Source organism: Homo sapiens, chromosome 13, assembly GCF_000001405.40.
Source record: "Homo sapiens chromosome 13, GRCh38.p14 Primary Assembly".
NCBI classification, from domain to species: domain Eukaryota; kingdom Metazoa; phylum Chordata; class Mammalia; order Primates; family Hominidae; genus Homo; species Homo sapiens.
Window position 1 is genome coordinate 52,535,014 of NC_000013.11, and position 26,082 is coordinate 52,561,095.

Genomic DNA, 26,082 nt, shown 5'->3' on the forward strand with positions numbered 1-26,082 from the left:
GATACATAAGAAAGAGAGAGAAATCAAACTTTATCTCTACAGAAATCCACCAAACCATAAAGATTAGAAAAAAAAAAAAACAAAGGAAGAAAAGAACAAAGGATATACAAAACAACCAAAAAAAAAAAAAAAAGAATAAAATGACAGGATAAATCCTCATCTATTAATAGTAACCTTGAATGTAAACAGATCAAATTCCCAATTAAAAGATACAGAGTTGGTTGCCAAGATAAACAAACAAACAAAAAACCCAACTACATACTGCCTATAAGAAACTAACTTCACTTGTAAAGGTACACGCAGACTGCAAGTGAAGGGATAGAAAAAGATACTCCAGGCAAACAGAAACCAAAAGTGGGCAGGAGTAGCCATACTTATATCAGATAAAACAGACTTTAAGTCAAACTGCATGAGGAGACAAAGACAGATATTTTATAATGATGAAAGGATCAACTTAGCAATAGGATATAATAATTGCAGACATATATGTACCCAACACTAGAGCACTCAGATAAACAAGGCAAATATTAGATCTAAAGGGAAAGACAGCCTCCAGTCTAGTAACAGTTGGGGTCTTTAACACCCCGTAACACCCTACTCGTAGCACTGGACAGATCATCTAGTCAGAAAATCAACAAAGAAATGTCAGATTTCAGCTTACAGAGAGGAATAAGTTTTAGTATTCTATAGCACTGGAGGGTGACTACAGTTAACAATTTATTGTATATTTTTAAAAAGAAAGGCTCTTGAGTGTTCCCACCACAAAGAATGATAAATATTTGAGGTGATGGACATGCTGATTATCCTGATTTGATCATTGCACATTGTACACAGGTATTGAGATATCACCCTCTACCTTATAAATATGAACAACTATTATGTGTCAGTTCAAATTGTTTTAAAGAATAAAAAAACAGTTTTTTTTTAAATCAAAGAAAAGAAAATAACATGGCTTGGCTGAATGGTCCCATGTGGTCTCTCATTCTCTAGTAGGCTACTTCAGGCCTGTTCACATGATGGCAGTGGCAAGAGTACCAGGAGCAGCAAGCAAAACAATGTAAATCCTTTTAAGGCCCAGGCTCAAAATTAGTATAATATTACTTCTACCCGATTTTATTGGACAATGCAAATTATACTACGATTCTGAATCTGAATCCAGATACAGAATAGAAAATAGACTCCAACTCCTGGTGGAAGGAATTGTAAAGAATCATGGCTGCTGTTTTTTTGTTTTTTTTTTTTTTGAGATGGAGTCTCACTCTGTTGCCCAGGCTGGAGTGCAGTGGCACAATCTTGGCTCACTGCAAGCTCTGCTTCCTGGGTTCACTCCATTCTCCTGCCTCAGCCTCCCGAGTAGCTGGGACTACAGGCGCCCGCCACCACGCCTGGCTAATTTTTTTTTTTTAATAGAGATGGGGTTTCACCGTGTTAGCCAGGATGGTCTCGATCTCCTGACCTTGTGAACCACCCGCCTTGGCCTCCCAAAGTGCTAGGATTACAGGCTTGAGTCACCGTGCCTGGCCGAGATCCTCAATTATAGTGGCAGCATACTGCTTTAGGCTCCATGGATGACTAAACTAATTTCAAACATATAATGCTGTTTACTGTGAAATGCCAACTGAAAGTCATTGTTTAATTTTATGTAATTTACAATACTTACTATACCTCAATAAAACTATAATTATTAAGGGCTGGCATCGGTTGCTGAGAGGTGGAAGGAGTACCTCTCTGCAGCGTGTTAGCTCAGGTTCAAACAGGACAGGGCCTCAATTTCAGCAGCTTTTCAGAAAATGGCCTGGATCCCCAGCCTGAATCATCATCCCATGGCTGGAGAATGTGGACAGGTTATTTAATTAAGAAACTAATGATAAACCAAGGGCTATGGGAATTAAGAACTATGGCTAAAAAAGAAATGTTTAGAGTGATGCAGAATGGCCGATTAAAAGCAGCTGCACTCCCCAGCACTCAAGGAGAGGAATGAAAAGGGGCAGGTGAATTCAGCACCTTCAACTGAGATACCCAGGTTCTCCCATTGGGACTGACTGGAAGAACAGCTCGCCCCATGGAGAATGAAGAAAAGTGGAGAGAGGGTGTGATGGCCCAGCTGAGAGCAGCGTGGAGCCAAAGGAACCCCCACTCCCAGCCAAGGGAAGCAGTGAGTGATTGTCCAATCCTGCTCAGGAAACAGTGCTTCTCCTATTGATCTTTGCAACCCATGGATCAGGGGATCCCCTTGTAAGCCCATGCCACCAGGGCCTTGTGTCTGATACACAGAGCTGTGGAGTCTCAGCAGATCAGCTGCTCAGGCACACACAGAAACCCAGACGTTTTACGTACTCTGGCCCCGAGATCCTCAGCAAGGTGGGAAATCTGTCCATACATATTTTGGAAAGGGGCTGAATCCAGGGAGCCAAGCAGTGTCACTCTGTGGGCTCCATTTCCACGGTACCTCACAAGTTAAGACCCATTGGCTTGGAATCCTAGCCAACCAAGAGCAACAGGTTGGATTCCACCTCAGATGGGTCTGAGTTCCCCGGGAGGTGGAGAGGGGCAGCCAGCATCACTGCAGTTTGTAGACTCAGCCACTCCTGCCTGCCAGCTATGGAAAATACAGGTGGTCAGGAGGAGGAAGTGTTCCCTGCAACGCAGCACACCTGGTCTACCAAAAAGCAGCGAGACTGCTTCTTTGGATGGGTCCCTGATCCCATGTCTCCTGACTGGGTAAGAACTCCCCCATGGGGGTCTCCAGCCACTTCCTACAGGTGTATGTAGACTTGCTACAGGTCAGTATCCCCCTGGGATGGAGCTTCCAAAGGAAGGAGCTGGCTGCCATCTTTGCTATTTCACAGCCTTCACTGGTAATACCTCCAGGTAGACGGGAGAAAGTCAGGCGACTGGGGTCTTGAATGGACCACCAGCAAATTGCAGAAGCACTATGGTAGAGTGGCCTGTTAAAGGAAAAACAAACACAGAGAAAACAACAACTGCTCAAAGAAATCAGAGAAGACACACACAAAAAATGGAAAAACATCCCGTGCTCATGGATGGGAAGAGTCAATATCATGAAAATGGCCATATTGCCCAAAGCAATTTATGGATGCAATGCTATTCCCATTAAACTGCTATTGAAATTCTTCACAGAATTAAAAAAAAACTATCTTAAAATTCATATAGAACAATAAAAGAGCCCAAATACTCAAGACAATCCCAAGCAAAAAGAACAAAGCAGGAGTCATCCCGCTACCCGACTTCAAACTATACTATACTACAGGGCTACAGTAACCAAAACAGCATGGCACTAGTACAAGAACAGATGTATAGACCAATGGAACAGAATAGAAAACTCAGAAATAAGACCTCACACCAACAACCATTTGATCTTTAACAAACTTGACAAAAACAAGCAATGGGAAAAGGACTCCCTATTTAATAAATGGTGCTGGAGTGCTGGCTAGCCATATATAGAAAATTGAAACTGGACTTCTTCCTTACACCATATCCAAAAATTAACTCTAGATGGATTAAAAACTTAAATGTAAATCCCCAAAGTATAAAAACTCTAGAAGAAAATCTAGGCCATACCATTCAGAAAATAGGCATGGGCAAAGATTTCATGATCGAAATGCTAAAAGCAATTGCAACAAATGCAAAAATTGACAAATGGGATGTAATTAAACTAAAGAGCTACAGAATGGGAGAAAATTTGTACAATCTATCCGCCCGACAAAGGTCTGATATTCAGATTCTACGAGGAACTTAATGAAATTTACAAGAAAAAAACACACAACCCTGTTAAAAAGTGGGCAAAGGACATGAACAGACACTTCTCAAAAGAAGACATACATGCAGTCAACAAAAATACGAAAAAAAAAAGCTCAACATCACCGACCACTAAAGAAATGCAAACAAAACCACAATGAGATACCACCTCACGCCAGTCAGAATGGCTATTATTAAAAAGTCCAAAAATAACATGCTGGCAAGGTTGCAGAGAAAAAGGAATGCTTTTTACACGGTTAGTGGGTGTGTAAATTAGTTCAACCATGTAGAAGACGGTGTGGCAATTCCTCAAAGACGTAGAGGCAGAAATAGCATTTGACCCAGCAATCCCATTACCAAGTATAGACCCAAAGGAATATAAATCACTGTCTTACAAAGATACATGCACGTGCATGTTCACTGCAGCAGTATTCACAATAGCAAAGACATGCAATCAACTTAAATGCCCATCAATGATAGATCAGATAAAGAAAACGTGGTACATAAACACCATGGAATACTGTGCAGCCATAAAAATGAAGAAGATAACATCCTTTGCAGAGACATGGATGGAACTGGAAGCTGTTATCCTCAGCAAACTAACACAGGAGCTGAAAACCAAACACTGCATGTTCTCACTCATAAATGGGAGCTGAATAATGAGAACACATGGACACATGGTGGGGAACAATGCACACTGGGGCCTGTCAGGAAGGAGGGGTTGGGAGAGGGAGAGCCTCAGGAAGAATAGCTAATGGATGCTGGGCTTAATACATAGGGATGAGATGTCTGTGTAGCAAACCACCATGGCACAGGTTTACCTATGTAACAAACCTGCATATCCTGCACATGTACCCCTGAACCTAAAATAAATAATCACATTTTATTGAGGTATAACATAGATGGTAAGTTGCACTAATCAAGTGTGTATCTTGATGATATTACACATAAGTATATATGCATGTAACCAACACCTCTGTCAATGTATTGGTGTATGACTGATCTCCGATTAATTGTTGTAAAGATATAAAATATCAAGATTAATGTTTTTCATATAGCTATCAATGCTTCCTGTACCACTTACTGTGAAGAGCATAACTTCCCCAATGAATTGTAGAGGTGTGTTTATTGCAAATCAAGTGAACATATATGTATAGGTTTGTTTCTCAGCTTTTTCTCCTTTTATTATGACTTAATGACTTGTCTATACTTAAGTCCAGACCACAGTTTTAAATATTATGGCTTTATAGTGAGTTTTGAAAACTTGTTTATAAGTCCCCCAACTTTGTACTTCTTTGTTTAAAAACTATCTTGGCTCTTCTAGATTTTTTGAATTTCCATATACATTTTAGAATCTTCTTGGCAATTTACACACACACACACACACACACACACACACACACAACCTGCTAGTATTTTGACTTGGGCATTCACTACATTGCTTAATTTAGGGAGAACTGACATGTAAAAATATTGAGATTTCCAACTCAAGAACATAATATATCTCTCTACTTATGTCTTCTTTGACTTCTTTTTGCAATGTTTGCAGTGTACAGGTTTTACACATTTTTTTTTTTTTGAGACGGAGTCTTGTTCTGTCGCCCAGGCTTTAGTGCAGTGGCGCAATCTCCGCTCACTGCAAGCTCTGCCTCCTGAGTTTGCGCCATTCTCTTGCCTCAACCTCCAGAGTAGCTGGGACTACAGGCGCCTGCCACCACGCCCAGCTAATTTTTTTGTATTTTTAGTAGAGACGGGGTTTCATGTGTTAGCCAGGATGGTCTCGATCTCCTGACCTCATGATCCGCCCGCCTCAGCCTCCCAAAGTGCTGGGATTACAGGCGTGAGCCACCGCGCCCACCCTACACATCTTTTGTTAGTTTTATTTCTAGGCATTCGATAAGTTTTTATGCTGTTTTAAGTAATATTTGAATATCTTCATTTTCTGATTATTTGCTATTGGTATATAGGAACATAATTAATTTTTGTATATTGACTTTAGTTTTGTTTTTAAATTTTAAGTTCTGGGAAACATGTGCTGAACGTGCAGGTTTGTTACATAGGTATACGTGTGCCATGGTGGTTTGCAGCAGCTGTCAGCCCATCATCTAGGTTTTAAGTTGTGCATGCATTAGGTATTTGTCCTAATGCTCTCTTTCCCCTTTCCCCCAACCCCGACAGGCCTCTTTCCCCTCCCTGTGTCCATTCTCATTATTCAGCTCCCACTTATGAGTGAGAACATGCGGTATTTGGTTTTCTGTTCCTGTGTTAGTTTGCTGAGGATGATGGTTTCAGCTTCATCCATGTCCCTGCAAAGGGCATGAACTCATTCCTTTTTATGGCTGCACAGTATTCCATGGTGTATATATGTGCCACATTTTCTTTATCCAGTCTATCATTGATGGGCATTTGGGTTGGTTCCGAGTCTTTGCTATTGTAAATAGTGCTGCAATGAACATATGTGTGCATGTGTCTTAATAGTAGAATGATTTATAATCCTTTGGGTATATACCCAGTAATGGGATGGCTGGGTCAAATGGTATTTCTGGTTCTAGATCCTTGAGGAATCGCCACACTGTCTTCCACAATGGTTAAACTAATTTACACTCCTGCCAGCGTGTAAAAGTGTTGCTATTTCTCCACATCCTCTCCAGCATCTGTTGTTTCCAGACTTTTTAATAATCGCCATTCTAACTGACATGAGATGGTATCTCACTGTGGTTTTGATTTGCATTTCTCTAATGACCAGTAATGATGAGCTTTTTTTTGTATGTTTGTTGGCTGCATAAATGTCTTCTTTTGAGAAGTGTCTGTTCATGTCCTTCACCCACTTTTTGATGGGGTTGTTTTCTTCTTGTAATTTGTTTCAGTTATTTGTAGATTTTGGATATTAGCCCTTTGTCAGATGGGTAGATTGCAAAAATTTTCTCCCATTCTGTAGGTTGCCTGTTCACTCTGATGATAGTTTCTTTTGCTGAGCAGCTCTTTAGTTGAATTAGATCCCATTTGTCAATTTTGGCTGTCGTTGCAATTGCTTTTGGTGTTTTAGCCATGAAGTCTTTGCCCATGCCTATGTCCTTCGTGGTATTGCCTACATTTTCTTCTAGGGTTTTTATAGTTTTAGGTTTTATGTTTACATCTTTAATCCATCTTGAGTTAGTTTTTGTATAAGGTGTAAGGAAGCGGTCCAGTTTCTGTTTTCTGCATATGGCTAGCCAGTTTCCCCAGCACCATTGATTAAATAGGGAATCCTTTCCCCATTGCTTGTTTTTGTCAGGTTTGTCGAAGATCAGATGGTTGTAGATGTGTAGTGTTATTTCTGAGGTCTCTGTTCTGTTCCATTGGTCTATATATCTGTTTTGGCACTAGTACCACGCTGTTTTGGTTACTGTAGCCTTGTAGTATAGTTTGAAGTCAGGTAGTGTGATGCCTCCAGCTTTGTTCTTTTTGTTTAGGATTGTCTTGGCTATACGAGCTCTTTTTGGTTCCGTATGAAATTTAAAGTAGTTTTTTTTAGTTCTGTGACAAAAGTCAATGGTAGCTTGATGGGAATAGCATTGAATCTATGAATTACTTTGGGCAGTATGGCCATTTTCACAATATTGATTCTTCCTATCCATGAGCATGGAATGTTTTTGTATTTGTTTGTTTGTTTTAGACAGGGCCTTGCTCTGTCACCGCAGGCTGGAGTGCAGTGGCACCTGGGCTCATGCAATTCACCCACCTCTGTCTCCCGTGTAGCTGGGACTACAAGCAGGCACCACCACACTTGGCTAATTTTTTTAAAATTAATTTTTGTAGACAGGGAGTCTCACTGGTCTCACTGGCCCAGGCTGGTCTCAAACTCCTGGGTTCAAGCAGTCTTCCCACCTGAGCCTCCCAAAGTGCTGGTATTACAGGTGTGAGCCACCACACTTGGCCTTGTATATTAACTTTATATCTAGCCTCCTTCATAAATTCACACATTCATTTTAATAATTAATGTGTAGATTCCCTGGGATTTTATGTATACAATCATAAAGTTACTACTTTATTCCCAGTTTTTATACTTTTTTCTTTCCTTATTGAATTATCTAGGACTTTCACTGTAATACTGAATAGAAATGGTAAGAGGAGACAGCCTTGCCTTATTCCCAAACTCAGGTGGAAGGAATTTTATACTTCACTATTTGAAATGATGTTTGCTATAGGCTTCTGTAGTCATTCTTTACCAGATTCAGACAATCCATTTTATTTCTAGTTTGCTAAAAGTTTTCAATCATGAATTGCTGTTGAGTAGATTGGATATTTTTTCTGCATCTATCAAGGTAATCAAAATGTTTTTGTGTTTTTCCATTAATGAGATTTTCAAATGTTAAGCCGACCTTTTTTATTTTTGGAATAAAATCCCTTTGGTCTTAATGTATTATCGTTTTATATATCACTAGATTCTGTTTGCTAATATTTTATTTAGAACTTTTCATCTATGTGCATGAGTGATATGAAATTTTCTTTCCTTGAAATGTCTTTATCTGTTGGTCTACATTTACCTTAGCTTTGGTGTCTTGGATAACTCCTATCTGCTAAACTCATCTTCATCCTCCATCAGGATGAATATGATGGATATGTTTCAGGGTAATGGCAAAAGGAAAGAGCTAGAGTGGAATCTTACAAGTGCTTTTGCAAGGCTCTCCTTTGTGACATCCCATTGACCAAATCAACTCACATAATAGAGCCCAAATTTAGAGTGAAAGGGCACTACAAGGTGAAATGTGAGGGCCGGGATTCAGGAAAAGATGAAGAATTGGGACCACTGATGGAATCTTTCTACCTTATTCTCAGGCAGGGAAGCATTTTTATACATGCAGATAGTTTACAAGAAATAACTAATATATAGTCAGAAACTCAAGGCTTCAGCAGTTGTATAAAAATGCATTTGTAAATACCCAAAGACCTTGAAGAGAAGGATCTGACCCACATCTCACCCAGGTTATGCTACTCCCAGCTAAGACATGATTCGACCACACCCTTGGCCAATTTTGAAAATTGTTTCAAACTATTTATTTGAGGTGGAATTACTTTTCTTCTCCCATAATGGGAACAGTCATGGAGCAATGTGACCAGGGTCCATTGGATGGGTCATACCACTTGAGGGCAGCGATCCCCAAATTCCCAATTCCATCTTTATGGGTAAAGCATCTCTTGATTGCTAATATTGTTTTTTAAAGCTGGTTGAGCTAATAACTGTGAGTTAATTATGGCATGTCTAAACTGAGCCAATTTTCTTTTAGTAGTTTTGGTGGTGCCTAATATCAGTTTGGGAAGACTTAATATTAGCTGGGGTGTTTTTGACAGCCAAAAACCTCACTTAGCATATAAAGACATTACTATTTCCTTGTGGGGTGATGGCTAGACTATTGATTTCTATCCGTTATTAAACTGTTATCTCCTTAGGGCATTGACAAAAGTACTAATAAGTCACTGATTTCTTTACCATTTTTAATCAGAGTATCCAAAAAGGAGGTGATAAATCATGTGTTTTAATAAATGCCACAAATCATGAGCCACCCAAAAAGTAAATCTACTGTCCATATTAATATTTAGTCTTTCATCTTTGCCAGAGCGCAGCCCCAAATCTAAGCTACTAGTTCAGCTACCTGGACAGGCCGAGAATTAGGCCATGGAGCACTTCAGTCATTGCATGTTCAATGACAACAGCATATTCTGCACTTGGAGTGCCTTTGTCATTTTTGAGAACCATCCACGATGTATATTAAATCAAGGTTGACTCAAAGGTACATGATTCAAATCCGGGTATACTTAACTTCTGAGAGGATGCTAAACAGTCATGTGATTCCTCTTTATTCTTATAAGAGAATAAATTTGCAGGGTTACATTTTGAACAACACTGAATATGCAAAGCAGACCTTACAATTTCCTAAGTGGTAAATTTACTAGTGGAGAAATGTCAGATGCTGCCTTGAAGTAGCAAAAACTTTAGAGATGTTGGACCCATAGAGTTAGTGGACAAACAAGCACTGTGGTGGAAGCATCAAGAAGTTTGGCCACTGCTACCACCTCATGCAGGTACAGAGGGTGTACCTTTGCTTCCAAATCAAGGAATGTACTAAGATAGGCAGAGAGAAGAGTTGAGCAGATTTAGGAAAACCGAAGGTGGAGGTTGTTGCAAGAAGGCTTTCACAGGAAGGGGAATATCACACTCTGGGGACTGTGGTGGGGTGGGGGGAGGGGGGAGGGATAGCACTGGGAGATATACCTAATGCTAGATGACGAGTTAGTGGGTGTAGCGCACCAGCATGGCACATGTATACATATGTAACTAACCTGCACAATGTGCACATGTACCCTAAAACTTAAAGTATAATAAAAAAAAAAAAAAAGAAATACGGAAAATAAGAAAAAAAAGAAAAGAAGGCTTTCACAGAGTAGCATTTTCTACTTTTGCATCACAAGGAAGTTGCATCAGAAAGTATAAACTTAGTAAGCCCATGCAAAGGCTGAGCTATGAGAAAAATCAGATATACAATTACCTACAGTCCTAAAATCTTCTTAGCCATCTTTTGATTTCTGTTCTTGGTAGAATTGAATGCTCTTTATTCTGGTTGAAAACAGAAACTGTCTATCTGGTGACAGCTTGTGACCAGAAAAATGTAGATTCTTGGCAGAGTTCACCTTTTCTCTAGATTCTTTATGTCCCTTTTCACCTACTTTGAATAAGAGGTATTTGGATCCTTTAGTAAACTACTTAGATCAGGAAACACAGCAGTAAATCATCAATATATTGAGTCTCTCTCTCTCTCTATATAATTATAAAAAGTATATATACACATATAATTATAAAAAGTATATATAAACATATATAATTATAAAAAGTACACACACACACACACACACACACACACACACATATATATATATATAATTTTTTAGACATTGAGAGAACTAGGAAGGGGATTCAGAGAATCCCTAAAGTTTAACCCTCCAGGTATATTTGTCTTCCCAGGAAAAAGCAAATATTGCCTGTTTTTCTTTTCTTTTCTTTTTTTTTTTTTTTGAGTTGGAGTCTTGCTGTGTCACCCAGGCTAGAGTGCGGTGATGCAATCTCGGCTCACTGCAACCTCCACCTCCGGGCTTCAAGCGATACTCCCGCCTCAGCCTCCCAAGTAGCTGGGATTACAGGCACCCACCACCATGCCTGGCTAATTTTTGTATTTTTAGTAGAGACGGGGTTTCACCATCTTGGCCAGGCTGGTCTTGAACTCCTGACCTCGTGATCCACCTGCCTCAGCCTCCCAAAGTGCTGGGATTACAGACATGAGCCACCACGCCCGGCCAACTGTTTTCCTATATATGTACGCTAGAGAAGCCTGCACATAAATTACTGCAGTGAGATATTTACTGGTTGAGAGAATGAAGAACAGGACAGTATTCTAATGGTTGCATGATATTTCATTAGTGCTATGATGAACCTCTAATGTTGGACATGTAAGTGTCACTATTATCAATAATACAACAACAAATATCTTTGGGTGTAAGGCTTTTTCTGTACAGATTGTTAGGAGTGAAATTACCTAGTTGAAGAGAATGAATATTTTTAGGGTTCTTAATATATATTGCCAAATCCAAGAGCAATTGTATTACTGTATCAAAATAAATCAAAGTTTTTAATGTCATGCCTTATTTTGCCAGCATTGGATTTTCTCATTAAAAGGAAAAGGGCTAATTTCATGGGCGCAAATGTCATGTCACTGTTGTTTTGACTTCTTTATTGGCGACACTGAATATTATGTAGGTTGTTAATCAGTTTGATTTTCTCTTTTATGGATTGTTTATGTCCTTGGCCCATTTATCTATAAGATGAGGGAGTAATATTTAAGTTGTTGTTAATGAATTATTAATTTATTATCCTAGGCATAGTCCCCAACAGTGCATTTTTCTGAAAAAATATTTTCCCCTGTTGTTCATTATAGCATTTTTCAACAGAAATTTCAGAATTTTATGAAGTTAAACCTAAGGCTATAGATCTTCCATTGATTCAACACTTTTAGTTCTTCCTCATTCAAAGAATTAAAATTCACTTAAATTTCTCATAGATGTTTGTAGTTTTTAATATGTGTTTTCTAAATGTATATGGATTTTAGGTAAGAAATTTCATGAATTCTAAAGTATATGAAATGTTTTATCCTTCCTCTCTGCCACTATGCAGATTCGGAGTGTTCATCTTTTTGACGTATTATTTCCTCCTAACATAGATAACCAATTTAATAAATGGATGACTTTGATACCTTAATGTTAGTGTTCTCCATATTAAGCCAGTAAACATTGTTCTGACAGTACCATACTAATCAGTTTTTGAAATTGTGTCATTTTTGTTGTTGCACAGAGATATATACATATGTGTGTATGTTTCAGAAAGAGATATTTCCTGAAAAAATTGTTGGATTTGTATAGTGATATTAATTATATTTCAGATAATTACTATTTTTCATTGAAAAGGTATATATATATATACACACACACACACTTACCAGTATATATATATCTTCATTAAAAAATTAGGAGAACGGGTGAGCCAAAAAAGTTTCCATATTGTTACGAGTTATTTATAAATTGATATAATATGTTTATCTTTTTCTGTCATGCATACACACACAATCATAGTGTATACTTTTTGCATTTATTTGTTTACATAGTGCTTAGGTAGAATGTAATATTCAAATCACTATCTAAAAGACATACCTAATCAGAATTAAATTTAAATAAGAAGCAATATGAATTAGATTTAAATAAGAACCACATTAACTGTGAATTATGATTTGGAACAAATTTACTTAAAGTTAGTTAACCATCTAATTTACTTTTCTGATAGCTTTAAACAGTGTGTATTTACAATAGAGGCTAATCTGAGTAGTCAAACACACTTTGTGGACTATTTGAAAAACCACAGTGGATTAGAACTTGAAATTGGCATACGCTTGTATTCCCTGAGTCTCCCCTAGAAGATGCTAGTGAGAGACAAAGTAATAGAAAGTAATAACCATTTTAGGTTCCTCGTGGAAATGGCTTATGTTGGTGCCATGTAACTATGGAAAATACGTGTTTCTCTTTTTTAGGAAGTCGTACAGTTTCTAGACAAGAAACATCCAAACCACTATCGAGTCTACAATCTATGCAGTGTGTACCTTACTCTGTATTTTGCTACTGTAGATAGAAAACAGATTACTGAATGTAAGAAGATGATTTTGTTTTTTACATTGCATTTAATCATAAGTATTTGGTGGTGGTGAGGAAGGAATTTAAAAATCCCCGTCTTGGACTGGCCCCATTTGGTAGAAGGAGTTAGCCCAGGAGCACAAAGTACCCTATGAAGGAGGCAGCTCTGGCAGGACCAATGAGGCTAGAGTGAAGGCAAACCATTTTAGGGAAGATCTGTTCTAGTGATATTAGGTTTAGGAACATCTGTCTGTTTTTCCTGCCAGATTGTGTTATGAGGACATAGACAATTTAACAAATGAGTCCTCTGACCCATTAGCAGTGGGTTGTGATGAGAGCAGGGCCCTAGGTGGGAAAAAAGCAAACTCTTTAGAAAATAGGTTGCAACCCAGCTTACCACTCTGTCTTGATTTTTTTCTCTACCTGTATACTCAATAGACAGGGGGCAATCATCAAGGATGTTCATCAAGGATATTGGTCTAAAATTCTCTTTTTTGCTTGTGTCTCTGCCCGGCTTTGGTATCAGGATGATGCTGGCCTCATAAAATGAGGTAGGGAGGATTCCCTCTTTTTCTATTGATTGGAATAGTTTCAGAAGGAATGGTACCAGTTCCTCCTTGTACCTCTGGCAGAATTCGGATGTGAATCCATCTGGTCCTGGACTCTTTTTAGTTGGTAAGCTATTGATTATTGCCACAATTTCAGCTCCTGTTATTGGTCTATTCAGAGATTCAACTTCTTCCTGGTTTAGTCTTGGGAGAGTGTATGTGTCGAGGAATTTATCCATGTCTTCTAGATTTTCTAGTTTATTTGCGTAGAGGTGTTTGTAGTATTCTCTGATGGTAGTTTGTATTTCTGTGGGATCGGTGGTGATGTCCCCTTTATCATTTTTTATTGCATCTATTTGATTCTTCTCTCTTTTTTTCTTTATTAGTCTTGCCTAGCGGTCTATCAATTTTGTTGATCCTTTCAAAAAACCAGCTCCTGGATTCATTAATTTTTTGAAGGGTTTTTTGTGTCTCTATTTCCTTCAGTTCTGCTCTGATTTTAGTTATTTCTTGCCTTCTGCTAGCTTTTGAATGTGTGCTCTTGCTTTTCTAGTTCTTTTAATTGTGATGTTAGGGTGTCAATTTTGGATCTTTCCTGCTTTCTCTTGTGGGCATTTAGTGCTATAAATTTCCGTCTACACACTGCTTTGAATGTGTCCCAGAGATTCTGGTATGTTGTGTCTTTGTTCTCGTTGGTTTCAAAGAACATCTTTATTTCTGCCTTCATTTCGTTATGTACCCAGTAGTCATTCAGGAGCAGGTTGTTCAGTTTCCATGTAGTTGAGCGGTTTTGAGTGAGTTTCTTAATCCTGAGTTCTAGTTTGATTGCTCTGTGGTCTGAGAGATAGTTTGTTATAATTTCTGTTCTTTTACATTTGCTGAGGAGAGCTTTACTTCCAACTATGTGGTCAATTTTGGAATAGGTGTGGTGTGGTGCTGAAAAAAATGTATATTCTGTTGATTTGGGGTGGAGAGTTCTGTAGATGTCTATTAGGTCTGCTTGGTGCAGAGCTGAGTTCAATTCCTGGGTATCCTTGTTGACTTTCTGTCTCACTGATCTGTCTAATGTTGACAGTGGGGTGTTAAAGTCTCCCATTATTAATGTGTGGGAGTCTAAGTCTCTTTGTAGGTCACTCAGGACTTGCTTTATGAATCTGGATGCACCTGTATTGGGTTCATATATATTTAGGATAGTTAGCTCTTCTTGTTGAATTGATCCCTTTACCATTATGTAATGGCCTTCTTTGTCTCTTTTGATCTTTGTTGGTTTGAAGTCTGTTGTATCAGAGACTAGGATTGCAACCCCTGCCTTGTTTTGTTTTCCATGTGCTTGGTAGATCTTCCTCCATCCTTTTATTTTGAGCCTATATGTGTCTCTGCATGTGAGATGGGTTTCCTGAATACAACACACTGATGGGTCTTGACTCTTTATCCAATTTGCCAGTCTGTGTCATTAATTGGAGCATTTAGTCCATTTACATTTAAAGTTAATATTGTTATGTGTGAATTTGAACCTGTCATTATGATGTTAGCTGGTTATTTTGCTCGTTAGTTGATGCAGTTTCTTCCTAGTCTCGATGGTCTTTACATTTTGGCATGATTTTGCAGCGGCTGGTACCGGTTGTTCCTTTCCATGCTTAGTGCTTCCTTCAGGAGCTCTTGTAGGGCAGGCCTGGTGGTGACAAAATCTCTCAGCATTTGCTTGTCTGTAAAGGATTTTATTTCTCCTTCACTTATGAAGCTTAGTTTGGCTGGATATGAAATTCTGGGTTGAAAATTCTTTTCTTTAAGAATGTTGAATATCGGCTCCCACTCTGTTCTGGCTTGTAGAGTTTCTGCCGAGAGATCCGCCGTTAGTCTGATGGGCTTCCATTTGTGGGTAACCCGACCTTTCTCTCTGGCTGCCCTTAACATTTTTTCCTTCATTTCAACTTTGGTGAATCTGACAATTATGTGTCTTGGAGTTGCTCTTCTCGAGGAGTGTCTTTGTGGCGTTCTCTGTATTTCCTGAATCTGAATGTTGGCCTGCCTTGCTAGATTGGGGAAGTTCTCCTGGATAATATCCTGCAGAGTGTTTTCCAACTTGGTTCCATTCTGCCCGTCACTTTCAGGTACACCAATCAGACGTAGATTTGGTCTTTTCACATAGTCCCATATTTCTTGGAGGCTTTATTCGTTTCTTTTTATTCTTTTTTCTCTAAACTTCCCTTCTCGCTTCATTTCATTCATTTCATCTTCCATCGCTGATACCCTTTCTTCCAGTTGATCGCATCGGCTCCTGAGGCTTCTGCATTCTTCACGCAGTTCTTGAGCCTTGGCTTTCAGCTCCATCAGCTTCTTTAGGCACTTCTCTGTATTGGTTATTCTAGTTATACGTTTCGTCTAAATTTTTTTCAAAGTTTTTAACTTCTTTGCCTTTGGTTTGAATTTCCTCCTGTAGCTCGTAGTTTGATCATCTGAAGACTTCTTCTCTCAATTCGTCAAAGTCATTCTCCATCCAGCTTTGTTCTATTGCTGGTGAGGAACTGCGATCCTTTGGAGGAGGAGAGGCGCTCTGCTTTTTAGAGTTTCCAGTTTTTCTGCTATGTTTTTTCCCCATCTTTGTGGTTTTATCTACTTTTGGTCTTTGATGATGGTGATGTACAGATGGGTTTTTGGTGTGGATGTCCTTTCTGTTTGTTAGTTTTCCTTGTAACAGACAGGACCCTCAGCTGCAGGTCTGTTGGAGTTTGCTAGAGGTCCACTCCAGACCCTGGGTATCAGCAGCGGTGTCTGCCGAACAGTGGTTTTTCGTGAACCGCGAATACTGCTGTCTGATAGTTCCTCTGGAAGTTTTGTCTCAGAGGAGTACCCGGCCGTGTGAGGTGTCAGTCTGCCCCTACTGGGGGGTGCCTCCCAGTTAGGCTGCTCAGGGGTCAGGGGTCAGGGACCCACTTGAGGAGGCAGTCTGCCCGTTCTCAGATCTCCAGCTGCATGCTGGGAGAACCACTGCTCTCTTCAAAGCTGTCAGACAGGGACATTTAAGTCTGCAGAGGTTACTGCTGTCTTTTTGTTTGTCTGTGCCCTGCCCCCAGAGGTGGAGCCTACAGAGGCAGGCGGGCCTCCTTGAGCTGTGGTGGGCTCCACCCAGTTGGAGCTTCCCGGCTGCTTTGTTTACCTAAGCAAGCCTGGGCAATGGCGGGCGCCCCTCCCCCAGCCTCGCTGCCGCCTTGCAATTTGATCTCAGACTGCTGTGCTAGCAATCAGCGAGACTCTGTGGGCGTAGGACCCTCCAAGCCATGTGCAGGATATAATCTCCTGGTGCGCCGTTTTTTAAGCCCGTCGGAAAAGCGCAGTATTGGGGTGGGAGTGACCCAATTTTCCAGGTGCCGTGTGTCACCCCTTTCTTTGACTAGGAAAGGGAACTCCCTGACCCCTTGCGCTTCCCCAGTGAGCCAATGCCTCGCCCTGCTTCGGCTCGCGCCTGGTGCGCTGCACCCAGTGACCTGCGCCCACTGTCTGGCACTCCCTAGTGAGATGAACCCGGTACCTCAGATGGAAATGCAGAAATCACCCGTCTTCTGCGTCGCTCACACTGGGAGCTGTAGACCGGAGCTGTTCCTATTCGGCCTCCTTGGCTCCGCGATCTCTTGCGTGGTTTCTAACTACCCTGCAATAATATAATGATAGTCTGCTAGAAAGTTAAAAATTACACCTATTAAACAAAAGTAAGTTGAGTTTAGGTGACATGAGATGGATAATCTGCTCATATGCTTATGTTTTTGAGATTCTTAAGTTTATTTTAGAGCAGCAGAAGCAACTTGGAAAGCTCCTTTTGAAGATGGATAGGGAATTTCTAATAAGATATTTTATGTTGCTCATAACTTCATCATTTACTATGTTATTATATATAGAGATATGACATACATATTATTTATTTTAGGTGAAAGAGCTTATGATCCTAAGCACTTCCATAATAGGGTCAGTAGAATCATGATCGATGATCATAATGTCCCCACTCTACGGTAAGTTTTATGCTAAGTTGACTATGAGAAGGGGGCTAAATCTATTGGGCTTGATTTTTTGAAAATATTTTAACTCAACTAAAAATCCTAACCTTGAAATCAGGGAGATGGTAGCATTCTCCAAGGAAGTGTTGGAGTGGATGGCTCAAGATTCTGAAAACATCGTAGTGATTCACTGTAAAGGAGGCAAAGGTAATAACGTTTTCCTTTTTATTCCTCCCATTCTAAAGACGTGTAAGGATATGTAAAGCACAAGAACAAGATACCTGTTGCTATTAATAAGTATTAGTAATTGTTAGCATTTAAAAGTATTAGCTGTAAGACTGAAAGAAGGGAAGGAGAAAGGAAAGAGGAGAGGAGGAAGAGTAGGAGATAGGGAGAGGATAAGGAAGGGAAGAAAGTAGGGAAAAAGAACTAAGGAGGGTTGAGCATATTTTCTCTTGTTTTTCTATTTGGATATCTTTATTTTTGGTTTGCCAGTTTATATCTCTCAAAATACAAAGTCTTTAATTTTGGAGTGTCAGAGTAGTTTTATTTAAGGCTGCTCTTTTTTATTTTTAAATTAACAAATAAAAATCAGTATATTCATGGTATACCACATGATGTTTTGATATATGTAAACATTGTAAAATGGCTAAATCAACCTAATTAACATATGCATTACTCCACATACTTTTTACTTTTTTGTGGTGAGAACATTTAAATTGTACTCTCTCAGTAATTTTCAAATCTATATTATTATTAACTGTGGTCACCATGTTGTGCAATAAATTTCCTGAACTTATTCCTGTCTAACTGAAATTTTGCATCCTTTAACTGACATCTCCACAATCCCTCCTTTTTGTTCCCCCCAGCCCCTGGTAACCACCATTCTACTCTCTGCTTCTATGAATTTGACATTTTTAGAGTCCACAAAGAAGTGAGACATCCAATATTTGTCTTTCTATGCCTGGCTCCTTTCACTTAGCATAACGTTCTCCAGGCTTATCCTTGTTATCTCAAGGGACAGGATATCCTCTAACGCCGAACAGTGTGTTCTTATTTATATATACCAGGTATTCTTTATCTGTTCTTCCATTGATGACATTTAGATTGACTCCATAGCTTGGCTATTATGAATAATGCTGCAGTGAACATGGGAGTGCAGATTTCATTTTCTTTGGACATATACCCAGAAGTGGAATCTCCAAATCATATGGTAGTTCTATTTTTTTATTTTTAGTTTTTTGAGGTGTCCCTATGCTGTTTTCCATAATAACTACTAATTTACACTCACACCAACAGTGTACAAGAGGGTTCTCTTTTCTCTACATCCTCACCAACTCTTCTTTTGTCTTTTTGTTAATCACCATCCTAACAGGTATGAGGATATCTCTTTGTGATTTTAATTTGGTTTTCCTGATGATTAATGATGTTGAGCATTTTTTCATATACCTCTTGGCCATTCATATGTCTTCTTTTGAGATATATCTTTTCAGGTTCTTTGCCCATTTTTTAGAGAAGTAACTTGTTCTCTTGTTATTGTGTTGTTTGAGTTCCTTTAAAAAAAAAATTAACCTGTTCTTGAATATATGCTTTGCAGGTATTTTTCTCCCATTCTGTAGGTGGTCTCTTTATAATTGTTTCCTTTGCTGTGCAAAAGCTTTTCAGTTTGATACAATGTCATTTGTCTATTTTTTCTTTTGTTGCCTGTGCTTTTCAGTCATATCCAAAAAATCTTGGCCCAGACCAGTGTCAAGAAGCTTTTCCCCTGTGTTTTCTTCTAGTAGTTTTCCAGTTTCAGGTTTCACAGTTAAATCTTTACTTTGAGTTGATTTTTGTACACTGGGTGAGATAGGGTGCAGTTTCATTCTTCTGCAAGTGGATGTCCAGTTTCCCCAGTATTGTTTATTGAAGAGACTGTCCTTTCCTCATCGTGGATTCTTGGCACCTTTGTTGAAGATCAGCTGAAAAATGCACGGATTTATTCTGGGCTTTCTATTCTGTTCCATTGATCTATATGTCTGTTTTTGTTCCAGTAATATTTAAGGTTGTTCTTAAACTTGGTGAGAATCTTTTAGATTAAGGGAGCCAACACAGAGATGCTATTTCAAAAATTATACTGGACTTATGATAGTGTAATGATACAAAGAAGTTTATATTGGTGGGGTTAAAATGGGGGGAAAAGCCACTTGTAAATCCAATCAATTTAAGTTCAGTTAGATTTTCTCTCATTCAGGTTTAGGCTTTGAATAATCATCTAAGTATATTTCACAATTTTTGATAAACATAAAGAATTACCTTCTTAGAGGGCTGTAAAACCATTTTTATATCAAATTCCAGGAAAACATAACACTGTAAACTGACTTATATAATTCAATAAAATGAAGTTTTAGTTTTATTGAGAACTAGTTTCAAGCCCATTAGTTAATATACAGGTTCAGTGTTTAGCTCTACAGGTTTGAATATTCTGTATAAAGTGGCAATTTACAATACCATAGTTAAATTAAGAATATAGAAGTTGAATCATTTGAAGTTCCCAGTTTTTTAACCATCTTTTGGTTTAAAAATGGCCATTTCACATTGCCTAACCTAACATGTTATTTTTCAAGCAGTAGCATCAGTTTTCTATTAACTGATACTAATTCCTTGCTTGAAGGATTTCAAATTTGACTTTTTTCTAAAAACTTTTGCTGAGAGGGGGTTTGCATAATTCTGGGTTCACATAATATTTTGTTGATTTTTTTAGGTTGTTTAGAGAATATTCAGCTGGTATGCACCAGAGAAGCCTCTTTTTAAAAATGTTCATTCATATTAATCTTGCTGTCTTCTGATTGGTTGCTGCCTGCAGGTTATCAGTAGTATCATGAGAGTAGAAATATTTTATTATTGATTTATAGGAGTTCTTTAAAGAATCTAAATGCCAATTTTTCTTAGTATTGCAAGTATATTCTCCCACTGTGTTGTCTTTTAAATTTGATTGTGATTTATTTTGTTGTATAAAAGCTTGTAAATTTGTGTTTTGTTTTGAGACACAGTCTCGTTCTGTCACCCAGGCTGGAGTACAATGGCTCAATCTCAGCTCATTGCAGCCTCAACCTCCCTGTACTCAAGTGATCTTCCCGCCTCAGCCCCTCTGAGTAGGTGGGATTACAGGCACGCGCCACCACGCCGGGGTAATTTTTGTATTTTTTGTAGAGACAGGGTCTCCCTATGTTGCCCAGACTGGTCTTGAACTCCTGGACTCAAATATTCCACTCGCCTCAGCTTCCCAAAGTGCTGGGATTATAGGCATGAGCCATTGTGCCAGCAAGAAGTTTGTAATTTTGAATGTGGTAAAATGTGTTAATCGATGTGTTTGTATTTCATGCTTTTCTGTCACGTTTAAGAAATTCACCCCTATACTGAGGTAGTAAAGATATTCTACATTTCTTCAAAAATCTTCAAGTTGCATTTTTAATATTTGGGTCTTAAATCTAATTGAAATTTGGGGGAGGTTTTTTTTTCATATGGATAGCCAACGGTCCTAACAGCATCAATTGCATGCTATTTTGTTCTCCATTTATTTGTGATTCCTCTCAATCATATACCAAGTTTCTAGAAATATTCAAAATTGTTTCTAAGTTCTCTATATCACACTTTTGTAATTATTGTAGCCTTATATTGTAGTTTGATAAAGGCAGAATTGTCTTGCTCTTCTTGGAACGTTATTCTTTCATTAAATTTTAAAATCATTTTGTCAAGTTCCATTATAAAACACGCTTAGGATTTTCATTGGAACTACATTGAATTTATAGATTCACTCGAGAGAACTGACAGCTTTGTGATAATAAGTTATACATGTGATTGATCTTGTTCATTCTTTAATTAAATATTTTATATTTTCTTCATCATGTCTTTGCACATCTTTTCACAAATTCATTCCTACACAAATTGTGACTGCAAGTGGAATCTCTTTTTTTTTTTTCTGTTACATTTGGGTTGTTTCCAGTTTTTACTATGATAAATAATGCTGCTTTTTTTTTTTTTTTTTTTAGACGGAGTCTCACTCTGTCACCCAGGCTGGAGTGCAGTGGTATGATCTCGCGCACTGCAACCTCTGCCTCCCAGGTTCAAGTGATTTTCATCCCTCAGCCTCTGGAGTAGCTGGGATTACAGGCGCCTGCCACCATGCCTGGCTGTTTTGTATTTTTAGTAGAGACAGGGTTTCACCATGTTGGCCAGGCTGGTCTCGAACTGCTGACCTCAAGTGATCTGCCTACCTCGGCCTCCCAAAGAGCTGATATTACAGGGTGAGCCACTGCGCCTGGCCCAATAATGCTGCTTTTAAAAATACACGTTTCTTGTTGCATATGTGGCCATATTTTTGTTGAGTATGTACCTCAGACTAAAATGGTTCTGTCTTAAGGTAATGAATCTTGAACTTTATACTTGATAATGTCACCTGTTTCTAAAACAGTTGTACCAATTTTCACTCCACTGGTATCGCACACTCGAAGCATTCCATATCTTCCCCAGTACTTGCAATTCTGAGTATTTTGATTTTTAGCCATTGGGTGTTTGTGTGATGGCATATTATGGTGGTGTTCATTTGCATTTCTATAATTACTAATAAGATTGAAGAAGTTTTCTTAAGATTATTAAGTATTTGGATATCCTTTTTTGTAAAGTAACTGTTAAGTTTTCTTACCCATTTTTCTCCTGGATTATTTGTCTTTTTTTCTCTTGATTTGCAGTTTTTTATATATTCTGATTTCCATTCTGTTATTGGTCATATATGTATTTCAAGAAAACTTTTCTGCTCTGTGATTTGCCTTTTCTCTCTCTTAGGAGTATCTTTTGGTTAACAGAAGTTCTTAGTTGTATTACCATCATAGGTATTATGCTTTCTCTTTATAAAGTTTGTGTTTTTGTGTCCTGATTAAGAAAATTTTCCTTGAGTTTAAAGACATTCTACTACTATATTTTCTTCTAGATGGTTCATTCATTTAAAAATTGATTTATAGGTGTGGTGTGAGGAAGAGGTTAAGTTTCATCTTTTTCCATATATGGCTATCCAATTATTCCAGCACACTGGTTGAGAAGATTTTTATTTCTTTACTTCCCTGCAGAACATGAGTCTGCTTCTGACCTTTCTATTCTGTTCATTGATTTTTCATCTGTGTGCCAATAGCACAACCATCTTACTGTAGCTTTCTAATAGTCCTTATTTCCAGTCAAGTGAGGACAATCATCTTTTTCTTCATAATTGTTTGTGTATTTTAGGCCGTCTACATTTCCATATAAATTTGGGAATCAAACAAAAGGCAGCAGAAACCTCTGCAGACTTAAATGTCCCTGTCTGACAGCTTTGAAGAGAGTAGTGGTTCTCCCAGCACGGAGTTTGAGATCTGAGAACGGACAGACTACCTCCTCAAGTGGGTCCCTGACCCCCGAGTAGCCTAACTGTGAGGCACCGCCCAGTAGGGGCAGACTGACACCTCACACGGCCGGGTACCCCTCTGAGACAAAGCTTCCAGCGGAATGATCAGGCAGCAACATTTGCTGCTCAGCAATATTTGTTGTTCTGCAGCCTCCGCTGCTGATACCCAGGCAAACAGGGTCCGGAGTGGACCTCCAGCAAACTCCAACAGACCTGCAGCTGAGGGTCCTGACTGTTAGAAGGAAAACTAACAAACAGAAAGGACATCCACACCAAAACCCCATCTGTACGTCACCATCATCAAAGACCAAAGGTAGATAAAACCACAAAGATGGGGAAAAAACAGCAGAAAAGCTGAAAATTCTAAAAATCAGAGCACCTCTCCCCCTCCAAAGGAACACAGCTCCTCGCCAGCAAAGGAACAAAGCTGGACGGAGAATGATTTCGAAGAATTGAGAGGAGAAGGCTTCAGACAATCAAACTTCTCCGAGCTAAAGGAGGAAGTTCAAACCCAATGCAGGGAAGCTAAAAACCTTGAAAGAAGATTAGACGAATGGCTGACTAGAGTAACCAGTGTAGAGAAGTTCATTCATCATACTGAATGGGCAAAAACTGGAAACATTCCCTTTGAAAACTGGCACAAGACAGGGATGCCCTCTCTCACCACTCCTATTCAACATAGTGTTGGAAGTTCTGGCCAGGGTGATCAGGCAGGAGAAAGAAATAAAGGGTATTCAATTAGGAAAAGAGGAAATCAAATTGTCCCTGTTTGCAGATGACTTGATTGTATATCTAGAAAACCCCATCATCTCAGCCCAAAATCTCCTTAAGCTGATAAGCAACTGCAGCAAAGTCTTGGGATACAAAATCAATGTGCAAAAATCACAAGCATTCTTATACACCAATAACAGACAAACAGAGAGCCAAATCATAAGTGAACTCCCATTCACGATTGCTTCAAAGAGAATAAAATACCTAGGAATCCAACTGACAAGGGATGTGAAGGACCTCTTCAAGGAGAACTACAAACCACTGCTCAACGAAATAAAAGAGGTTACAAACAAATGGAAGAACATTCCATGCTCATGGGTAGGAAGAATCAATATTGTGAAAATGGGCATACTGCCCAAGGTAATTTATAGATTCAATGCCATCCCCATCAAGCTACCAATGACTTTCTTCACAAAATTGGAAGAAACTACTTTAAAGTTCATATGGAACCAAAAAAGGGCCCGCATTGCCAAGTCAATCCTAAGCCAAAAGAAGAAAGCTGGAGGCATCACGCTACCTGACTTCAAACTATACTACGAGGCTACAGTAACCAAAACAGCATGGTACTGGTACCAAAACAGAGATATAGACATATAGAGATATGGAACAGAACAGAGCCCTCAGAAATAATACCACACATCTACAACCATCTGATTTTGACAAACCTGACAAAAACAAGAAATGGGGAAAGGATTCCCTATTTAAAAAATGGTGCTGGGAAATGGTGCTGGGAAAACTGGCTAGCCGTATGTAGAAAGCTGAAACTGGATCCCTTCCTTACACCTTATACAAAAATTAATTCAAGATGGATCAAAGACTTAAATGTTAGACCTAAAACCATAAAAACCCTAGAAGAAAACCTAGGCAATACCATTCAGGACATAGGCATGGGCAAGGACTTCATGTCTAAAACACCAAAAGCAATGGTAACAGAAGCCAAAATTGACAAATGGGATCTAATTAAACTAAAGAGCTTCTGCACAGCAAAAGAAACTACCATCAGAGTGAAGAGGCAACCTACAGAATGGGAGAAAATTTTTGCAATCTACTCATCTGACAAAGGGCTAATATCCAGAATCTACAAAGATCTCAATCAAATTTACAAGAAAAAAACAAACAACCCCATCAAAAAGTGGGTGAAGGATATGAACAGACACTTCTCAAAAGAAGACATTTATACATCCAACAGACACATGAAAAAATGCTCATCATCACTGGTCATCAGAGAAATACAAATCAAAACCACAATAAGATACCATCTCACACCAGTTAGAATGGCGATCATTAAAAAGTCAGGAAACAACAGGTGCTGGAGAGGATGTGGAGAAATAGGAACACTTTTACACTGTTGGTGGGACTGTAAACTAGTTCAACCATTGTGGAAGACAGTGTGGCGATTCCTCAAGGATCTAGAACGAGAAATACCATTTGACCCAGCCATCCCATTACTGGGTATATACCCAAAGGATTATAAATCATGCTGTTATAAAGGCACATGCACACGCATGTTTATTGCAGCACTATTCACAATAGCAAAGACTTGGAACCAACCCAAATGTCCATCAATGACAGACTGGATTAAGAAAATGTGGCACATATACACCATGGAATACTATGCAGCTGTAAAAAAGGATGAGTTTGTGTCCTTTGTAAGGACATGGATGAAGCTGGAAACCATCATTCTCAGCAAACTATCGCAAGAACAAAAAACCAAACACCGCATGTTCTCATTCGTAGGTGGGAGTTGAACAGTGAGAACACTTGGACACAGGAAGGGGAACATCACACACCAGGGCCTGTTATGGGGTGGGGGGAGGGGGGAGGGAAAGCATTAGGAGATATACCTAATGTAAATGACGAGTTAATGGGTGCAGCACACCAACATGGCACATGTATACATATGTAACAAACCTGCACGTTGTGCACATGTACCCTAGAACTTAAAGTATAAAAAAAAAAAAAATTTGGGAGTCAGCTGGTCAAATACACACACCTGATAGAAATTTGTTTGGAATTGCGTTGAATCTATAGATTGGGGAGAATTGAATCTTTACAATATTGACCCATCCAACCCATGAAGAGAGATGTTCTCTCATTCAGTTAGGTTTCCTTCCATTTCTCTTTACAATGTTTTCTCATTTTCTGTGTAGAAAGCTTGCATATTTTTGATGAGATTTATTCCTAGATATTTGATATTTTGTGGTTATTTAAATGATATCCCTTTAAAATGTTTATTTTCTAAATGTTGTTGATTTAAATGCAGTTCATTTTATTCATTAATCTTGTATTTAGCAACTTGACTAAACTCACTTTTTGTTTGTTTGTTTGTTTGTGTGTTTTGAGATAGGGTTTCATTCTGTCACCCAGGCGGGAGTGCAGTGATGCGATC

General features: G+C 38.8%; 1 long non-coding RNA gene and 1 pseudogene across 3 annotated transcripts in view; one reads left to right on the forward strand and one right to left on the reverse strand.

Annotated features, from left to right (window-relative positions):
- LINC00345 (long intergenic non-protein coding RNA 345) overlaps nt 1–26,082 on the reverse strand; it is a 118,126-nt gene that overhangs the window by 52,532 nt on the left and 39,512 nt on the right. Inside the window, exon 3 of one of the 2 annotated variants that reach the window (NR_184202.1) lies at nt 14,015–17,166. The exons of the other annotated variant lie outside the window; for it this stretch is intronic. This is a non-coding gene — a long non-coding RNA (long intergenic non-protein coding RNA 345). Of the gene's footprint in view, nt 1–14,014; nt 17,167–26,082 lie in introns of those variants that run through there. 2 annotated transcript variants of the gene reach the window in all.
- TPTE2P3 (TPTE2 pseudogene 3) overlaps nt 1–26,082 on the forward strand; it is a 98,103-nt pseudogene that overhangs the window by 46,021 nt on the left and 26,000 nt on the right. The window contains exons 16-17 of the transcript NR_002793.2: nt 17,440–17,521; nt 17,625–17,713. The product of NR_002793.2 is annotated as a TPTE2 pseudogene 3 (transcript). The remainder of the gene's footprint in view (nt 1–17,439; nt 17,522–17,624; nt 17,714–26,082) is intronic.